Source organism: Homo sapiens, chromosome 14, assembly GCF_000001405.40.
Source record: "Homo sapiens chromosome 14, GRCh38.p14 Primary Assembly".
In the NCBI taxonomy this organism is placed as follows: Eukaryota; Metazoa; Chordata; class Mammalia; order Primates; family Hominidae; genus Homo; species Homo sapiens.
The window spans coordinates 59449490-59465463 of record NC_000014.9 but is presented as its reverse complement, the minus strand read 5'-3'; the positions used below and the strand labels follow the sequence as shown (position 1 = coordinate 59465463).

The window sequence follows — 15974 nt, the reverse complement described above, 5'->3', positions numbered from 1 at the left end:
TTTGCAGCGGGTACTGGGCTGCCGTCCCGCCCCGCGCTCCTGCGTAAACACGCGGTTCCCTCGGCAACGCTGGAACCCACGTCAAAGGCTCCGCCAGGTCCCCAGCGACCGCCACCCCTCCGGCCGAGCCCAGCTCCCCGCGGCGGCCGCTAGCCCCCGGCCCCGAGCCACCACTCCGACCTAGCGGCCGCCGCCCCCGGTGCGGGATGAGGAGATCCGCGGCCGCCACTGGGCCCCATGGAGGAGCCGCAGCCGCCCCGCCCACCAGCGAGCATGGCCTTACTGGGCAGCCAGCACTCCGGCGCCCCCTCCGCGGCCGGCCCACCTGGCGGGACTTCCTCCGCGGCCACGGCGGCCGTGCTCTCCTTCAGCACCGTGGCGACCGCGGCGCTGGGGAACCTGAGCGACGCAAGCGGAGGCGGCACAGCTGCCGCTCCCGGTGGCGGCGGCCTTGGCGGGTCCGGGGCAGCGCGGGAGGCGGGGGCGGCGGTGAGGCGGCCGCTAGGCCCGGAGGCGGCGCCGCTGCTGTCGCACGGAGCTGCAGTGGCGGCCCAGGCGCTCGTCCTCCTGCTCATCTTCCTGCTGTCTAGCCTTGGCAACTGCGCGGTGATGGGGGTGATTGTGAAGCACCGGCAGCTCCGCACCGTCACCAACGCCTTCATCCTGTCGCTGTCCCTATCGGATCTGCTCACGGCGCTGCTCTGCCTGCCCGCCGCCTTCCTGGACCTCTTCACTCCGCCCGGGGGTTCGGCGCCTGCCGCCGCCGCGGGGCCCTGGCGCGGCTTCTGCGCCGCCAGCCGCTTCTTCAGCTCGTGCTTCGGCATCGTGTCCACGCTCAGCGTGGCGCTCATCTCGTTGGACCGTTACTGCGCTATCGTGCGGCCGCCGCGGGAGAAGATCGGCCGCCGCCGCGCGCTGCAGCTGCTGGCGGGCGCCTGGCTGACGGCCCTGGGCTTCTCCTTGCCCTGGGAGCTGCTCGGGGCGCCCCGGGAACTCGCGGCGGCGCAGAGCTTCCACGGCTGCCTCTACCGGACCTCCCCGGACCCCGCGCAGCTGGGCGCGGCCTTCAGCGTGGGGCTGGTGGTGGCCTGCTACCTGCTGCCCTTCCTGCTCATGTGCTTCTGCCACTACCACATCTGCAAGACGGTGCGCCTGTCGGACGTGCGCGTGCGGCCGGTGAACACCTACGCGCGCGTGCTGCGCTTCTTCAGCGAGGTGCGCACGGCCACCACCGTCCTCATCATGATCGTCTTCGTCATCTGCTGCTGGGGGCCCTACTGCTTCCTGGTGCTGCTGGCCGCCGCCCGGCAGGCCCAGACCATGCAGGCCCCCTCGCTCCTCAGCGTGGTGGCCGTCTGGCTGACCTGGGCCAATGGGGCCATCAACCCTGTCATCTACGCCATCCGCAATCCCAACATTTCGATGCTCCTAGGGCGCAACCGCGAGGAGGGCTACCGGACTAGGAATGTGGACGCTTTCCTGCCCAGCCAGGGCCCGGGTCTGCAAGCCAGAAGCCGCAGTCGCCTTCGAAACCGCTATGCCAACCGGCTGGGGGCCTGCAACAGGATGTCCTCTTCCAACCCGGCCAGCGGAGTGGCAGGGGACGTGGCCATGTGGGCCCGCAAAAATCCAGTTGTACTTTTCTGCCGAGAGGGACCACCAGAGCCGGTGACGGCAGTGACCAAACAGCCTAAATCCGAAGCTGGGGATACCAGCCTCTAAGACGGTTGGAATGGCCAGCTTATGAAGGCAAATTTCCACTCGCATTATTTAATGATGGAAGATTCTGGGGGAGAGTTGTGGATTTCATAAAGCCAAACATTTAAAGCTAGAGACGGGGGAGGCTTACCACTTTCCCCAAACAACATAAAAGACAATGTCCCTTCTTCAAAAGTGCCAAAAGGAATGTAAAATGCAAAAATTAAAACAATCTTAAACCACATAACCAAGCATTGTGAACTGTAAGTGCCAAAAATGACAAAAATAACATTCACTATAACTGAAAAGCTCATATTATAGGACCACACTGTGAAACAAACAAAACATTGAATGCAACCAGTATTGTTCAACTACACAGAATTTCAGGAATGAATGGAGACCTTCAGAGCTGCTTGAAAGCCCCTCTAAATCGCTACCATCCAACAAAACTTTAGCTTCTAGAGCTTGCACCTCTGACATGCTTTGGGTGCTTAGATTGCAAGTGGAAAAGTCTTATCCTTACACACATTGGTGCACCTCCTCACCCCACCCCCTAATAACCTTTGTGGAAAATTTTTAATTCATAACCCATTTAAAATCATTTTAGGATTTTGAAAAGCTGGTTATTATTAGATAAAATTCAACCATCTGAAGGACAAATAGAAGTATGAACATAAAGAAATGTGTCTTTTAAATGTTTTCCAAGATTATATGTAAAAATTAACATTCCTTCCACCCGCGTCATACCTCCAAAATGATCTTCCTTGGAAAACTTTGAAGTTTTATCCTTACTCTAACCTGTTACTTTTATTTCTGATAAATTTTGGAATGCTGCTCTCAGAATGCTTTCACATTTAAAAAAATATTTTCATTGTAGAAAATTTTTGTCTTTTGAGGTAAATTTGATTTTTGGATATAGCCAAAAATGTAATTTGAAGTCAAGTTGATTGAATAAGGTGAGTGATGCCACTTTATTTAAATTTTTATTATTTTTTAAAATGAGACCTCTATAAAACAACAAGGTTGGGTTTCCTACGTGGCTTTTAGCTAACTGAAAACGATTCCAAAGAGAAATTCTAAAACTATTTTGAGAAGCAGCCTCTTGGAATTAGCGTAGACTTTTCCAAATAGATCATACCCTCCTACATTTAGAAATTTGGTATATTTTGTATTTTTTAAAATAGCTGATGGTTGCTTTATAGCTATGACTTGTCGAAGATAATGTATTTATTAAAGGGAGAATAGGTGTGGGACTATATGTAACGGTATTAAAACACAGGCATAAAGTTGGAGAAGAACTTCAAGCAAACTGAAAATATCTTTAGAAATATGCAAATCAAAGATGCTTTTTAAATTTCTATCTTAGCAGAAAAGATGGTTTTACAATAATTCAAAAGCGTATGTGAACTTTCTAATGTTAAATACGACTATACACAGAATCATTTACTCAGAATTTTTTTAAATATTATTTTTCCCTTTCTTTTCCTCCATCCTGCCCCTTTTCTTCAGTATTTCATAGCCTTAATTGAACAAGTTATTTACAGTAGATATGAAAAGACATTAGCTGTCGTATGAAGATTTCAATGTGAAATAGCCAGCATTTTCTTCCTGTAAAGTATTTAAATATGTTTTTAAGTATTTCTTTGTTTGACAGGTGGGTACATGTCATTATTTTGTAATCAAAGGTGGAAATATATGAGTCATGTCAGAGCTAAAGATGTTTTAATTTTTTCTGCTTCTCAGGGTATCATCACAAATCAGAAGTTTGTAAATTGTATATATTTTGCTACACTCAATGTAGTACAAAGTAGATGAGATAATCCCTCCCCTCTAGCCCTTATTTTATAAAGCATATACAGACTTCATGCAGCTGGACTAACAAAAACAGGTGTCTGCGGTATTTGCCTGTTAAAGGCAAAAAATTGTGTATTTTTTGGCACCGAGTCACTTTTGGGATTTAGAGAGAAATGATAAAGTCTTCAATTATAAAAGACATCATAGAATAGAAGTACAGTTGTGAATAAAGGGCAGAGGGTTAGAGATCTTAGAGTAAGGAGGTGAGCGTGTTGCAAAATAGTGTGTTGCCTGAGAAGAAGAATTGAAGGAAGGCATTGAAAAATAAATGTGATATAGAATAAACCTACCTGGTGAGTGAAGGGAAAATCTGAGAGATTGGAAGTGACAAGGTGATGGCATGAAGGACTTTAAGGAAGAAAAGGAATTCCAGCCCTACCTTTTCGGTGGCAGGAAGTTTTAGGAAAGGCATGGCTTGTGAAAGAGGCCATTCTGTTAGTGGCTCCGAGAGTCATGGTAGGCAAGAATTGGAGGGGAAAAAGAGAAAATTGTTCATAAATTACTGAACAATTTACAATGCTCTAAATTGTTTGTTTTTAATCCAAGGCTATCCAACTATTTAGTGGTAGAACTAGGATTTGAACTGCAGTCTGTTTGGCCTCAGAACTCCATGTTTGTTTCTCTCTATCCCCACAGAAGTCTACAGGTAAGGAAATCAATCATGATCAATTATGGTACTGTCATCATTATCATCATCGTGATCATCATCTACCATTTTTGTTTCCTACTTTATATAAGGGCAACTTCCTGGGAGCTAAGGCTACTAAAAGGTAGAAGCCACAGTACTCATCTGCAGAGGGCTTACAGCCTCAGCAAGGACCTTGTGGCTTTGTAACAACAATCAGCCATAACAAGTTTACTTGTGGAAAAGAAAAGGTGTAGCACTTTCAGAAGAGGCTATCAAAGAAAAGAGATGAACTTGGAAGCAAGAGATACGCAGGTATAAGTCAGCCACCCATTTGACCCAGTGTAAATACTTAGACAATCAATACCTCAAAAGGTGAAGAAAGAATGATTCTCAAAATAATCTAAGACTTCGACCTTTCGTTGTGCTTACTATGAGTATGCAATTATAGTGACTTCATGGGAAAACGAGAAAGAAAAGCTATGAAATATTGGAATGGATTAAATATTGAGTACTATGTAAAGGCCAGAATGTAATCCTTCATGTTTTATTCTGCTCCCAGTTTGGGTATTTCATTTGGGTGGAAATAATAACAGCAACAAGTAATACTCTGTATAGTAGGTGCATTAGCTCATTTAATCCTCAGAGCAATCTTATTAAGGCATACTGTATTATCACTCTCCCCATTTTACAGATGAGAAAACCAAGGCACAGAGGTGTTATGTGATCACACAGCTAGTAAGTGCTAAACATGAGATTTGCACCTGGCAGATTGGTGCCAGAAGTCGTCTCTTAACTGCTATTCTGTACTGCCTCTGTCTTTTGAAAAAGACAATGAGAACCCTGGAAAAGTGACAAGGAAGATAAAGACAACTATCAAAGGAATGGGAAAACAGCATAACATTTAAAAGAAAAGATTTTTGTTTCTAATTTGGAAAACAACTATATATATGTGTTTCTAAAAAGCATATAAGGGTTTCTGAGCAGTTATTTTCTGGAATAATTCCACTCAAGATGACCCCAGTCATCCATCTTCCCCATTCCTGCTCCAGTGCATCTGAACAGCATTGGAGAAAAATTACAGAATCAGATTAGTACCCACTGCACTTAGACTCCATAGCCTTGCCTGGCCCTTCCACCCTGCTGGCAATCTGAGCATTTTCACTTGTCAACTCACTCCTTCTGCCCCTTTTTTGACCCTTCAAACTTTATCCATGCAAACATTTAACCAACCCTAACCTCTTGGAATATGACTTTTGGTGCTGCTTCTCCAAGAAAATAGAAGACATCAGATACACATTTCTTCATATTTTAGCCACCAAACCTAACTCAACTAGATTTGTACTAGTTCTCAGCTATGTTTTCCAATTATAATGAAGCTGGTCCCTTCTCCAGCCTTGGGAATCTCATGCTATCTATTACTTCTGTTCCCTGGTATCCTTAGCCTTCCCACTGAACCATATCCCTGCCATGAGCACTTAAGCATGCCGTAATCTCTCACTTGAGAGGAAAAATGCCCATTCTTCCCTCCTTTTCTCTCCCTCAGTTCCTTTCCTTTAGCTAACTCATCAAAAGAATTGCCTGTACTTTTACAATTGATCTAAATTCTAGTCTACACTTTTAGTGGTGTAAGAAAGAAAGTAATTATTTTTCTGCAACTCAACATCTTACTCTGCCAGATGGTAAAACTTAAGATGACAGCATCTAGGTTCTAGGGGCTTATTAGTGCCAGTGCATTGGTGAACATAAGTCCTCAGTTGTCATCCATTCACCCTGGCATCTGCCAAGGCATCCATCAGTCTGTCTCTGGCCTTATATCCATGGCTTGCTGAGTAATTATCTCCCACTTCAGTCCAAGAGGACCCAGCTCAAATGACCACTTTAGAGCCCCTCTCTAAACACAAAAAAATTATTACTCCACCTCAGAACCATAGAGGGCTGTGACCACACCTATTAGGAGGTCACAGGCTGCTTTTTAAGAATTTTTTCCAATATTTTTGGTTTTTGATATGTTTTGATATTGTTGGGTCAATAAATCAAAATTATACATAAAACATACTTTGGAAGTTCCACTTCTGGAATGGCAATGAGGAGCTCTGTGGATCCCAATTAAACAAGTTTAACTGGTGAACATTATTTTCAAGACAACCATTTTAAATCTTTTTAAATTGTCCTAATGGCATATAGAAAATGCAGAAACATTAATTAAGAAAATCTAAAACTCAGTAAGAATAGTGAGTCTGTGGCATTTGATTTATAACCCACTCTCTCCCTATTCCCAGCTCAGCATGACAGAGACTCCATTCCAGGTGGAAAAAGCACATGGCTCTTTCTTCTCCGAGATCCCAGGACTATCTTATTTTCCTCAGAGGGGCAGGTTACAAGAACTTCACATCTCTCAGGCTACATGTTGCAAAGGTTAAATTCCAGGTGAGTGCAGCCAAGAAGCTGGGGGTTGTCTTCTTCTACCTACCTCCCATTCATAGAGCAAATGCTTTACTAGGGTGTGGCATGCTGGGAATACTGGGGCCATGATTATTCTCAAACAAGCTCATTTGTAGGACTGAGATTTCATGCTTGAACGGGCAAGCTGAGAAGACCAGATGTTATGAACCCCCCCACCCAATGCCCTACTTTTGGAGCAACCATTCCAAAAGAAGCAGGCCACCATCCCTGCCCCCACAATTCAGAGCCATGTCTCAGAGAGTTCGCATAGGAGTAGAGACAGGCCTTTAGACAGCCCTGAAGCTCTCTCCAAAGGAACTAATTTTATTTGAAACAAAGTGTGGAGAAGTTCAAGTCTAAGGCATTCTCAAAAACAATGGAGTTTTGGTGGTAAACAATTAAGAGGAGGCTAAAAACTTCATGAGAGATAGAAGCTAAACCACAGGGCAGCTAGTTTACCAGAGAGAACCCAGAAGAGACAGCTAAAAAGAGCTCTCCTGAGGTCTAAACTAACCTCAAAAACTGCCCCTGCAATTGGATCAGACTGTGGAGCAATTTATGCCCAAGAGCATTGTCAAAAACAATAGGGCAATTAGCAAATAATTAGTGACACCTAACATCTAGAAGTGATCAGGAAAAGAGGCAGTCAAACAGAGCCCTACTAAAGCTATTGTTCTCCAAGGGTGACTGTAGGCATACCCAAGGCTGTGTCCTCTGAAGAACACCACCAGAAGCTTCACACCACAGAGCAAAAAGACTACCCCAAAATAGTCCAGTAACTAAACAAATAAACAAACAAACAATAGTAATAAGCCTCACAGAAGGAGTAGTAGAAACGTGTATCTGGAGCTGCTACAGAGTTGTTCCATGAGGGTTTTTCTTAGCTGTCTTTTTCCCTGGTTCTCTCTATTGAAAGCATCCAGTTTACAACAACAAGAGCAATAAATATATGAGACATGCACAGAAATAGGAAAATATGAACCGTACCCAGGAAAAAAAAGCAGGCAACAGAAGAAACTCTCCATGAGAGGGATCAGATGGCAAATTTAACAAACTCTTTAAAGTAGACATTATGAATATGTTCAAATAATTTTTAAACTATGCTTAAGTAAAAGAAGGCATGTTGAAAATGTCTCATCAATAGAGATTAATAAAGAGATAGAATTTATAAAAAAAGAAACATGGAAATGCTTGAGTTGAAAATTACAATTACTAAAATTAAAACTTAACTACAGGGGCTCAACAGTAAATTTGAACTGGCAGAAGAAAGAATTAGCAAACTTGAATATAGTTCAATAGAGATTATGTAAGCTGAACAACAGAGAAAAATAATGCAGAAAAAATGAATACAGCCTCAAAGACCTGTGGGAGACCATTAAGTGCATTAATATATGTGTAATGTGACTACCAAAAAAAGAAGAGAAAAAAGAGCAGAAAAAGTATTTGAAGAAATAATGGTTGAAAACTTCCCAAATTTGAGTCTTAAAAAAATTAATCTACACACATCCAAGAAACTGAAGAAACTCCTAAGTAAGACAAACACAAAGAGACACACACAGATAGTAAATAGTAAAATAGTAAAAATGCTGAGAGACAAAGACAAAGGAAAATCCTTGAAAGCAGCAAGAGAAAAACAACCTGTCACACACAAGGGAATCCCAGTAAGATTAACAACTGACTTATCAGAAACAATGGAGGCCGGAAGGTAGAGGGATAACATATTCAAAGTGCTAAAAGAAAAAACTGTCAACCAAGAATCCTATATTTAGCCAAACTATCTTTCAACAAATACACATTAAAAGTCTCTTGCCTACATCTGCCCTATTCACCTTGTCCTCACCTTTCTCAGGCAACCACTGTTTATTAATTTTTTGTTTCTTTATGTAAAAGTAAGGAAAGGCATATTTTCTTAATTTTCTCCCTCTTGTACAGAAAAGTTAGCATACTATATACACATTGATTTTTTTCATTTAACAATATATCCTGGAAATTGTTCCCTATGATATATTCAAAGTTATTCTTTTTCTAAATAGCTTCATGGTATTCCACTGTATGGATATATCAAAATATCAAAATATTTGATAATATCAAAATGTAGCCACCTTCTTTTGATTGACAGGTTATCTCTAATTTTATACTATTGGAAAATAATACTGCAATGAAGCAACTTACACATAAAACATTTTGTATGTGTGCAGGTATTTCTATATGGTAGAATATTATAGGTAGGAGTGATGGTTCAAAGGCTAAGTACATTTATAATTTAATACAAATTGCCACATTACCTTCTCTATAGGTTGTACGATTTTTCACTTCCACCATCAAGTTATGAGTGTGATTGTTTCCCTGCAGTTTTGCCAATAGAGTGATTTTAGACTATTTACATCGTGGGTTACAACCAATGGTAAGTCATGAATTTAGCGTAATGGGTTATAACCAACATTTAAAACAAACTGAAGTGGCGTAGGACAGAATAAAACATATCAGATTTCACCACACATAGTTTGATAGTTGTAAAATTCTTTGATACTTCTCCCTTCAAATGATATAAACTAATTTTCTTTCCCCTTAAGTGTGAGCTGTACTTAGTGACTCACTACTTTTGTTTGTTGTTTTTTTTTAACTCATTAGGGGTTATTTGTGTCAACAAGTCAAGGAAAGAGCAGCCCAAGAATACCATCAGAGATGCAGCTTTCCAGGCCTCCATCCTGGACTTGCAGGTTTCATATTGACATATGTTTGCAAGATGACTTGCACTTCCAGGTCTCCACTCTCCATTCCAAGAAAGAGAAAAGGGAGAATAAGGGCTTTTTCCAAAAAGTTTTGTCTTTCTAATCAGGAAGACATGACCTTCCCAGAGATGTCTGATTACATCTTATTGCCAGAACTATATCACATGGCTATCCTCAAGTGTTAGGGAGATTGAAAAACTGAAAGTTTTTAGCAGAGTGCATTTTCCTTCCCCTAAATAGTGTTATGATGATCACTTTTGATGAACAGAATGTGGCAGAAGTGAAGATGTCTTAAATATTAGGACAAAAAAAGGTATTGACTGTGGCTTTCTCATTGCTCTTTCTCAAGTCAGTTATTCTGGGGAAACCCAACTGCCATGTTGTGAGGACACTCAAGCAGCCCTATGGAGGAGCCCACATGGTGAGGTACTGAGGCCTCTTGCCAACACCCATATGAGTGAGCCATCTTGGAAGCAGCTCCAGCTGACATCTTAATTACAACCCCCTGAGAGACCTGTATCAGAACTACCCAGCTAATCTGCTCCAAGTTTCTGACTCACAGAAGCTTTGAGAGGATAATTGTTTTAAGCTGCTAAATTTGGAGCTAGCTTGTTACACAACAATAATAACTAATACACTTAGTAGAAATAAGAATGGGTTCACGAAACATTTCAGTTGTATATGAGTGTGTGCTAGGTCTCAGTGTAAAATGAACCCCTTCTTATAGGTTGCAGTAAAAAACAAAATGGAAAATTGTGCACAAAACAAACCAAGCAACAGTTTTCTACTCTGAGGTCTTGCTGCTGCCTTCCTGAGGTCTACATGGGAATCAAGACGCAGGTCCTCTTTGCTTTCAGGTGCCCCAAACTTATTAGTGGCTCATGCAGCCTTTATTGCCCCATCATTCTATAGCTAGGCCAGTCACCAAGGGTGGGCAGGGATACACAGGATACAAGGACACTTCTCAGAGCTCTATTTACATCTAAATTCTCCTTGATTTTTTTTTTTTTTGAGATGGAGTCTCACTCTGTCACCAGGCCGGAGTGCAGTGGTGCGATCTTGGCTCACCGCAATCTCCGCCTCCAGGGTTCAAGTGATTCTCCTGCCTCAGCCTCCCAAGTAGCTGGGACTACAGGCATGCACCACCAGGCCCGGCTAATTTTTTGTATTTTAGTAGAGATGGGGTTTCACCATGTTGGCCAGGATGGTGTCAATCTCCTGACCACGTGATCTGCCTGCCTCGGCCTCCCTAAGTGCTGGGATTACAGGTGTGAGCCACCGCACCCGGCCTCTCCTTGATTTTCTAAGCTCCTCTCATCCAACCTGAAAACATATTTATCTAGTCTTTAGGATAGTCATTCTGGCTTTTACAGCTTTGTGTGTTCTCTTGGACTTATTATCTTGATTTAAAACCTTCCTATTTAAAGCAGGGCCAAAATTTTAACAAACCAAAGACCTCTCTGTTTTTGGCACAGCCTCCTTTAGTACAGAAAATCCTAAAGGTAAAGGAAGTCCTGTGCGTACAAGGAAATACAGTGGAAAAAGCCCTCAAATAATATTTGAAAATGTTATTCACATATTGTCTTTATTTCAACTCAGATTCCTTTCTCATTCCATTTTTATCTGGCTCCTACACTCATTGCTTCACAGAATTAGTCACAGAATAGGTCACAAATGACCTAAATCCAGTGAATACTTCTCAGCCATCTTACTTGACCTTGCCAAACATAAACCACGTGTATTAGTCAGGGTTCCCACAATAGGCTGTCTGCAGGCTGAGGAGCAAGGAGAGCCAGTCCAAGTTCCAAAATTGAAGAACTTGGACTCCAGTGTTCAAGGGCAGGAAGCATCCAGCACAGGAGAAAGATGTAGGCTGGCAGGCTAAGCCAGTCTCTGTTTTCACATGTTTCTGCCTGCTTAGATTCTAGCAGTGCTGGCAGCTGATTCGATTGTGCCCACCCAGATTAGGGGTGTGTCTGCCTTTCCTAGCCCACTGACTCAAATGTTAATCTCCTGTGGCAACACCCTCAAGACACACCCAAGATCAATACTTTGTATCCTTCAATCCAATCAAGTTGAAACTCAATATTAATTATCACATCATAGTTGGCCCCACTTCCCTTTTGGAAATGTTCTTGTCCTGGTGTTCATGTTTTTACTCTTTCTTGGTTTTCCGCTAACCACTCTGATCATTCCTTCCTAACCTCTTTGACTACTTTCTCTGCTTCCCCATCTTACATTTTAAAAATTACTTTAAAAATAGATAATATGTACACGATATGAATTTGAAAAGGTACAAAAGGGTACAGAGTGAAAAATAAATGTTTTCCTTTTCCTTCCTGCCCTTGACAACTAAAACCTGCCAATCATCAAGTCCCTTTTCCCCAATCTGTTCCTTTTCAACCCCAAAGTCATTATCTAGGCCAGCCTCTTATCACTAATTTCAATGGACTTGATGACGTAGTTCTGGGTTCTCCCTGAGAAACCCACCTTAACATCCATCACAAAATATTTTGGAGTTCCCAGTTGGTCTTCCACATGTACTCAAGAAAATGTCTATTCCTATGGTCTCTGTGTTACTCTGCCAGGCACCATTGTTAATCCAAGTAGCTCTGCCAAGAACAGTAGCTATAAGGAAGAAGAGATTGTGCTTAGTGGACAGCATTCTTCAAACATGGCATCTTTTCAACTTTTTTTTAGTAGGCTTTATTTTTCAGAGCATCTTTAGGTTCACAGCAAAATTGAGTGAAAGTACAGAGATTTCCCATTTATTCTTTGCCCCAACACAAGCAAAACCTCACCTGTTACCAATATCCCCCACCAGAGAGGTACATTTGTTATAATCAATAAACCTACAATGACACATTGCTATCACCCAAAGTCCATAGTTTACATTAGGGTTCATTCACTCTTCGTGTTGTACATTCTATGGGTTTTGACAAATGTCATAACATGTATTTATAATTATAGAAATATGTAGAAGAGTTTTATTGCTCTAAAATTCCTCTGTGCTCCATCCATTCATCCCTTTCTTCTCCCAGTCTCTTGAAACCACTGCTACTGTTACGGTCTCCATGGTTTTGCCTTTTCCAGAATGTCATATAGTTGGAATCATACCGTAGGAAGCCTTTTCAGATTGGCTTTTTTCGCTTAGTAATATGCATTTTAGGTTTCTCCATAGCTTTTCATGGCTAAATAGCTCATTTCCTTTTAGTGCTAATATTCCATTGTCTGGATGTACCATAGCTTATTTATCTGCTTATTTACTGATGGCATCTTGGTTGCTTCCAATATTTTGCAGTTATTAATAAAGCTGCTATAAACATCTGTGTGCACATTTATGTGAACAAGTTTTCAACTCATTTGGGTAAATATCAAGGAACATGAGTCTTGAATTGTACATTAAAAATATGTTTAGTTTTGTAAGAAACTGCCAAATGATCTTCCAACATGGAGGTACCATGTTGCATTCCCACCAGCAATGAATGAGAGTTTCTGTTGCTCCATATCTTTGCCAGCATTTGGTGTTATTAGTGTTTTAGATTTTGGCCATTCTAATAGGTGTGCAGTTATATCTCAATGTTGTTTTAATTTGAAATTTCCTAATGACATGTAATGTTGAGCATCTTTTCATATGCTTATTTTCTATTTGCATATATTCTTTGATGAGGTGTCTATTCAGATCGTTTGTCCATTTTAAAATCAGGTTGTTCATTTTCTTGTTGGGTTTTCAGTTATTTTGTATTTTAGATAACAGTTCTTTATCAGATATGTCTTTTGCAAAATTTTTTTTCCCAGTCTGGGGCTGGTTTTCTCATCTCTTTTCAACATTTTCAAAAAGAAAATACATAAATATGACAGTTGGTAAGATTGCGATGAGAAGGCATAGAGTAGCTCTTATCAGTAGGAATATTACTCCTCCCTAAAGAGCATTTCAGAAATTTGGGGAAGGATTTTTTGTCTCACAATATCACTAGCATTTAGCAAATGGTGTCCAAAAATTCTGGATGTCCTATAAAGCATGAGAGAATACTGACCAATGCAGATTGTCTCACATCCTGTACAGCTTTCAAATGTCCCACCAGACACTGAAATAGCTGACAAATTTATGAATCATTATGTACTTCCATAACTTTAGTTCATTCTGCATAGAAAAATGTGTTTTAAACATGGTTTTAATATACACAGAAAGTTTCTAGAGATGCAACTCTATAAATTGAAATTTTTATTACATCTATTTTGTTTAGATTTTTATTAAACAATATTCACCCATTTGGAAAGCACTGTTATAATTTACTACACCGCTTGAGCTAATGGACTGTGAAAAAACACTTTTGTATCAGTCTACATTTGTAGCTATTATAATCGCTGTGAGTCTACATTTAAATGTAAGCACCTAACTACTTCATTTTGTTTATTCTGCAATAAAAAGAGCCTACTGATCATACAGCAACATAAATGAATGCTACAGGCATTTTGCAAAGAGAAAAATCTGGATACAAAAGAGTATATACTATATAATTCAATTTATATGAAGTTCCAGAACAGATAAAATAAGTATATGGTGAAAACAAATACAATTTCTAGCTCTTTGCTGGTAGTTCCCCTATGTCATCCACTATATCCGTGTTTTCCTTTAAGCCCTAAATATATCTGTAACAGGTACTTTTAGAGTCTTTGTCTTCTATTGCAAACATCTTGGTTATATAAAGTTGGGCCTTTATTTACTGCTTCCCTCTGTTTGTTTATGAGTCATATTTTCTTTTCTTCTCTTTTTTTTCCCATGTCTAGTTATCTTTGATTATATGCATAATATTGATGACATATTGCAAGGAAGCTGGATTTTATGTCTTGTTTTAAAGGGCATTTATTTAAATTGCTAGAAGGTCCTCCAGATCCTTTCAGGCTTGGTGTCATTCCATGTTGGAGTCAGTCTCTTTCGGTTTTGTCTCTTGTCCTAGCATGTGGCTCTTATTTTAAAGCTTGACTTTTATTTTCAAGGTATTTGTTGTCTTAAACAAATGCCTGAGGCGCTCAATGAACTCTCTGCACTCTGGCTAGACTATAACATGTACAACATCATCTAATCCAGTGTAATTTTAGGTATCTTTGTTCACCACTCACTCCTACAGTAGCCACTTTCTCCTAGTTCTCGTGGCGATTTGTTCTACACATGTGCAACCCAGCTCTATACCAAAGATTTATGGAGAGCCTCCATGCAGACAGCTGTCTCCCTCCATCACATCACTCCTTTCTCTCTTGCCCACAAATTCCAGTCACTTCAACTGTGTTGAACTCTGCTCTGTCTTCTAGCTTGGGAAGACCACCATTTTCTACTGGAGCTCTACCTCCCAGGGTCAAAGTCTGAAAAATAGTCCTAGGTAGAAGGATGAAATAATTTACATAATGCATGTGCCTGTGAAGCACTTAGCATGATGTCTGCACAGAGTAAATGGCCAATAAATGTTGATTTTTATTATGAAATCTGTATTTGATACAAATTTTATCTATAATATTTTATTAAAGAAAAAAGTCTTATAAAATGGTAGAGAGTAATCTCATTTTTGGAAACAAACATATTGAAATTAGGAAGGATATCTACCAAATAATATTACTATCAAGTAAGAATATCTTTACCAAACAATATAATTATAGATGCTCTTCAATTGTTAATAATTTACTCCATTATATTTTGTATAATAAGCATTACTTTTTAAAATGAAAGAATTTATTTTTGAATAAAAATAAACTACTAAAGAGCATTTTGAGGGGTCTGTGTTGAAAGGGAAGAAAGGGGTAAGCTCTCTACTTAGCCTTGCAGGGAGTAAAATAATTTACCTATCTATTATACACACTGGGACCTCAGCATTTTCGGGCCTGTTGGCTGGAGGTACTGCCATTTCTGCCTTTGTAGCCTCTGAGGGAGGCCTGAGTTACTGGCTTGGTTCCCTGACAATATACCAGACTGTAGGAACCCTTCTGAGTTGTGTATTTAAGTAGTTAAAAAAATCCTGGAGAAAATTCAGTTAAGTTATAAACCAGTCTTATCTTTTTATTTTTAATCATGCTGTTATATTATCCCACTCTCTTGGATTGAGATCATTTTTACATTTAACACTTAGTTCTTTCCTCTCCACATATGAGAGAAGGAGTAGAAGATAGCCTCACCATCACTACTCCAGGTGGTCCAGACACCTGGATCTCCCTGTATCATTGGCTAAGAAAGCACAAGCCATCAGATTCAAACATAAAAGTTGAGGTGGCTCAGCTGGATGGCTGCCATCTCTCTCCCTAACCTCGGGACTTTCTTGAGTAAGTCTACTTTCATGAGTGTCCGTGTGAAGAGACCACCAAACAGGCTTTGTGTGAGCAATAAAGCTTTTAATCACCTGGGTGCAGGCGGGCTGAGTCCAAAAAGAGAGTCAGCAAAGGGAGATAGGGTTGGGGCCGTTTTATAAGATTTGAGTAGGTAAAGGAAAATTACAGTCAAAGGGGGGTTCTCTGGTGGGCAGGAGTGGGGGTCACAAGGTGCTTAGTAGGGGAGCTTTTGGGCCAGGATGAGCCAGGAGAAGGAATTTCACAAGACAATGTCATCAGTTAAGGCAGGAACAGGCCGTTTT

At 41.0% G+C, this 15974-nt stretch overlaps 1 protein-coding gene across 8 annotated transcripts, besides 1 other annotated feature; it reads left to right on the top strand.

Moving 5' to 3' along the window:
* Positions 14–553: a silencer, noted in NCBI's record as "silent region_5806". NCBI's record gives its function as "represses an Ori minimal core promoter by ATAC-STARR-seq in GM12878 lymphoblastoid cells {active_cell/tissue: GM12878}" and the evidence as "EXISTENCE:reporter gene assay evidence [ECO:0000049][PMID:35858748]".
* Positions 84–12681, top strand: GPR135 (G protein-coupled receptor 135). Of its 8 annotated transcripts, none has more exons than XM_017021598.3 (5): positions 84–2654; positions 4099–4198; positions 4291–4492; positions 6460–6607; positions 8919–12681. In XM_017021598.3, the coding sequence occupies exon 1, from the start codon at positions 238–240 to the stop codon at positions 1720–1722; it is 1485 nt and encodes a 494-aa protein (XP_016877087.1). In that variant the 5' UTR covers positions 84–237; the 3' UTR covers positions 1723–2654; positions 4099–4198; positions 4291–4492; positions 6460–6607; positions 8919–12681. The 8 variants fall into 8 exon arrangements, with proteins under 8 accessions (XP_016877087.1, XP_024305463.1, XP_024305462.1 ...); XM_024449695.2 differs by having other exon boundaries at positions 84–4198; positions 8919–9026; positions 9708–12681; XM_024449694.2 differs by having other exon boundaries at positions 84–4198; positions 8919–9026; positions 9704–12681.
* Positions 12682–15974: the final 3293 nt, after the last annotated feature.

Bases quoted from the DNA above. Each gene is read 5' to 3' on its own strand.
- GPR135 (XM_017021599.3), top strand. From the start codon at position 238: ATGGAGGAGCCGCAGCCGCCCCGCCCACCAGCGAGCATGGCCTTACTG.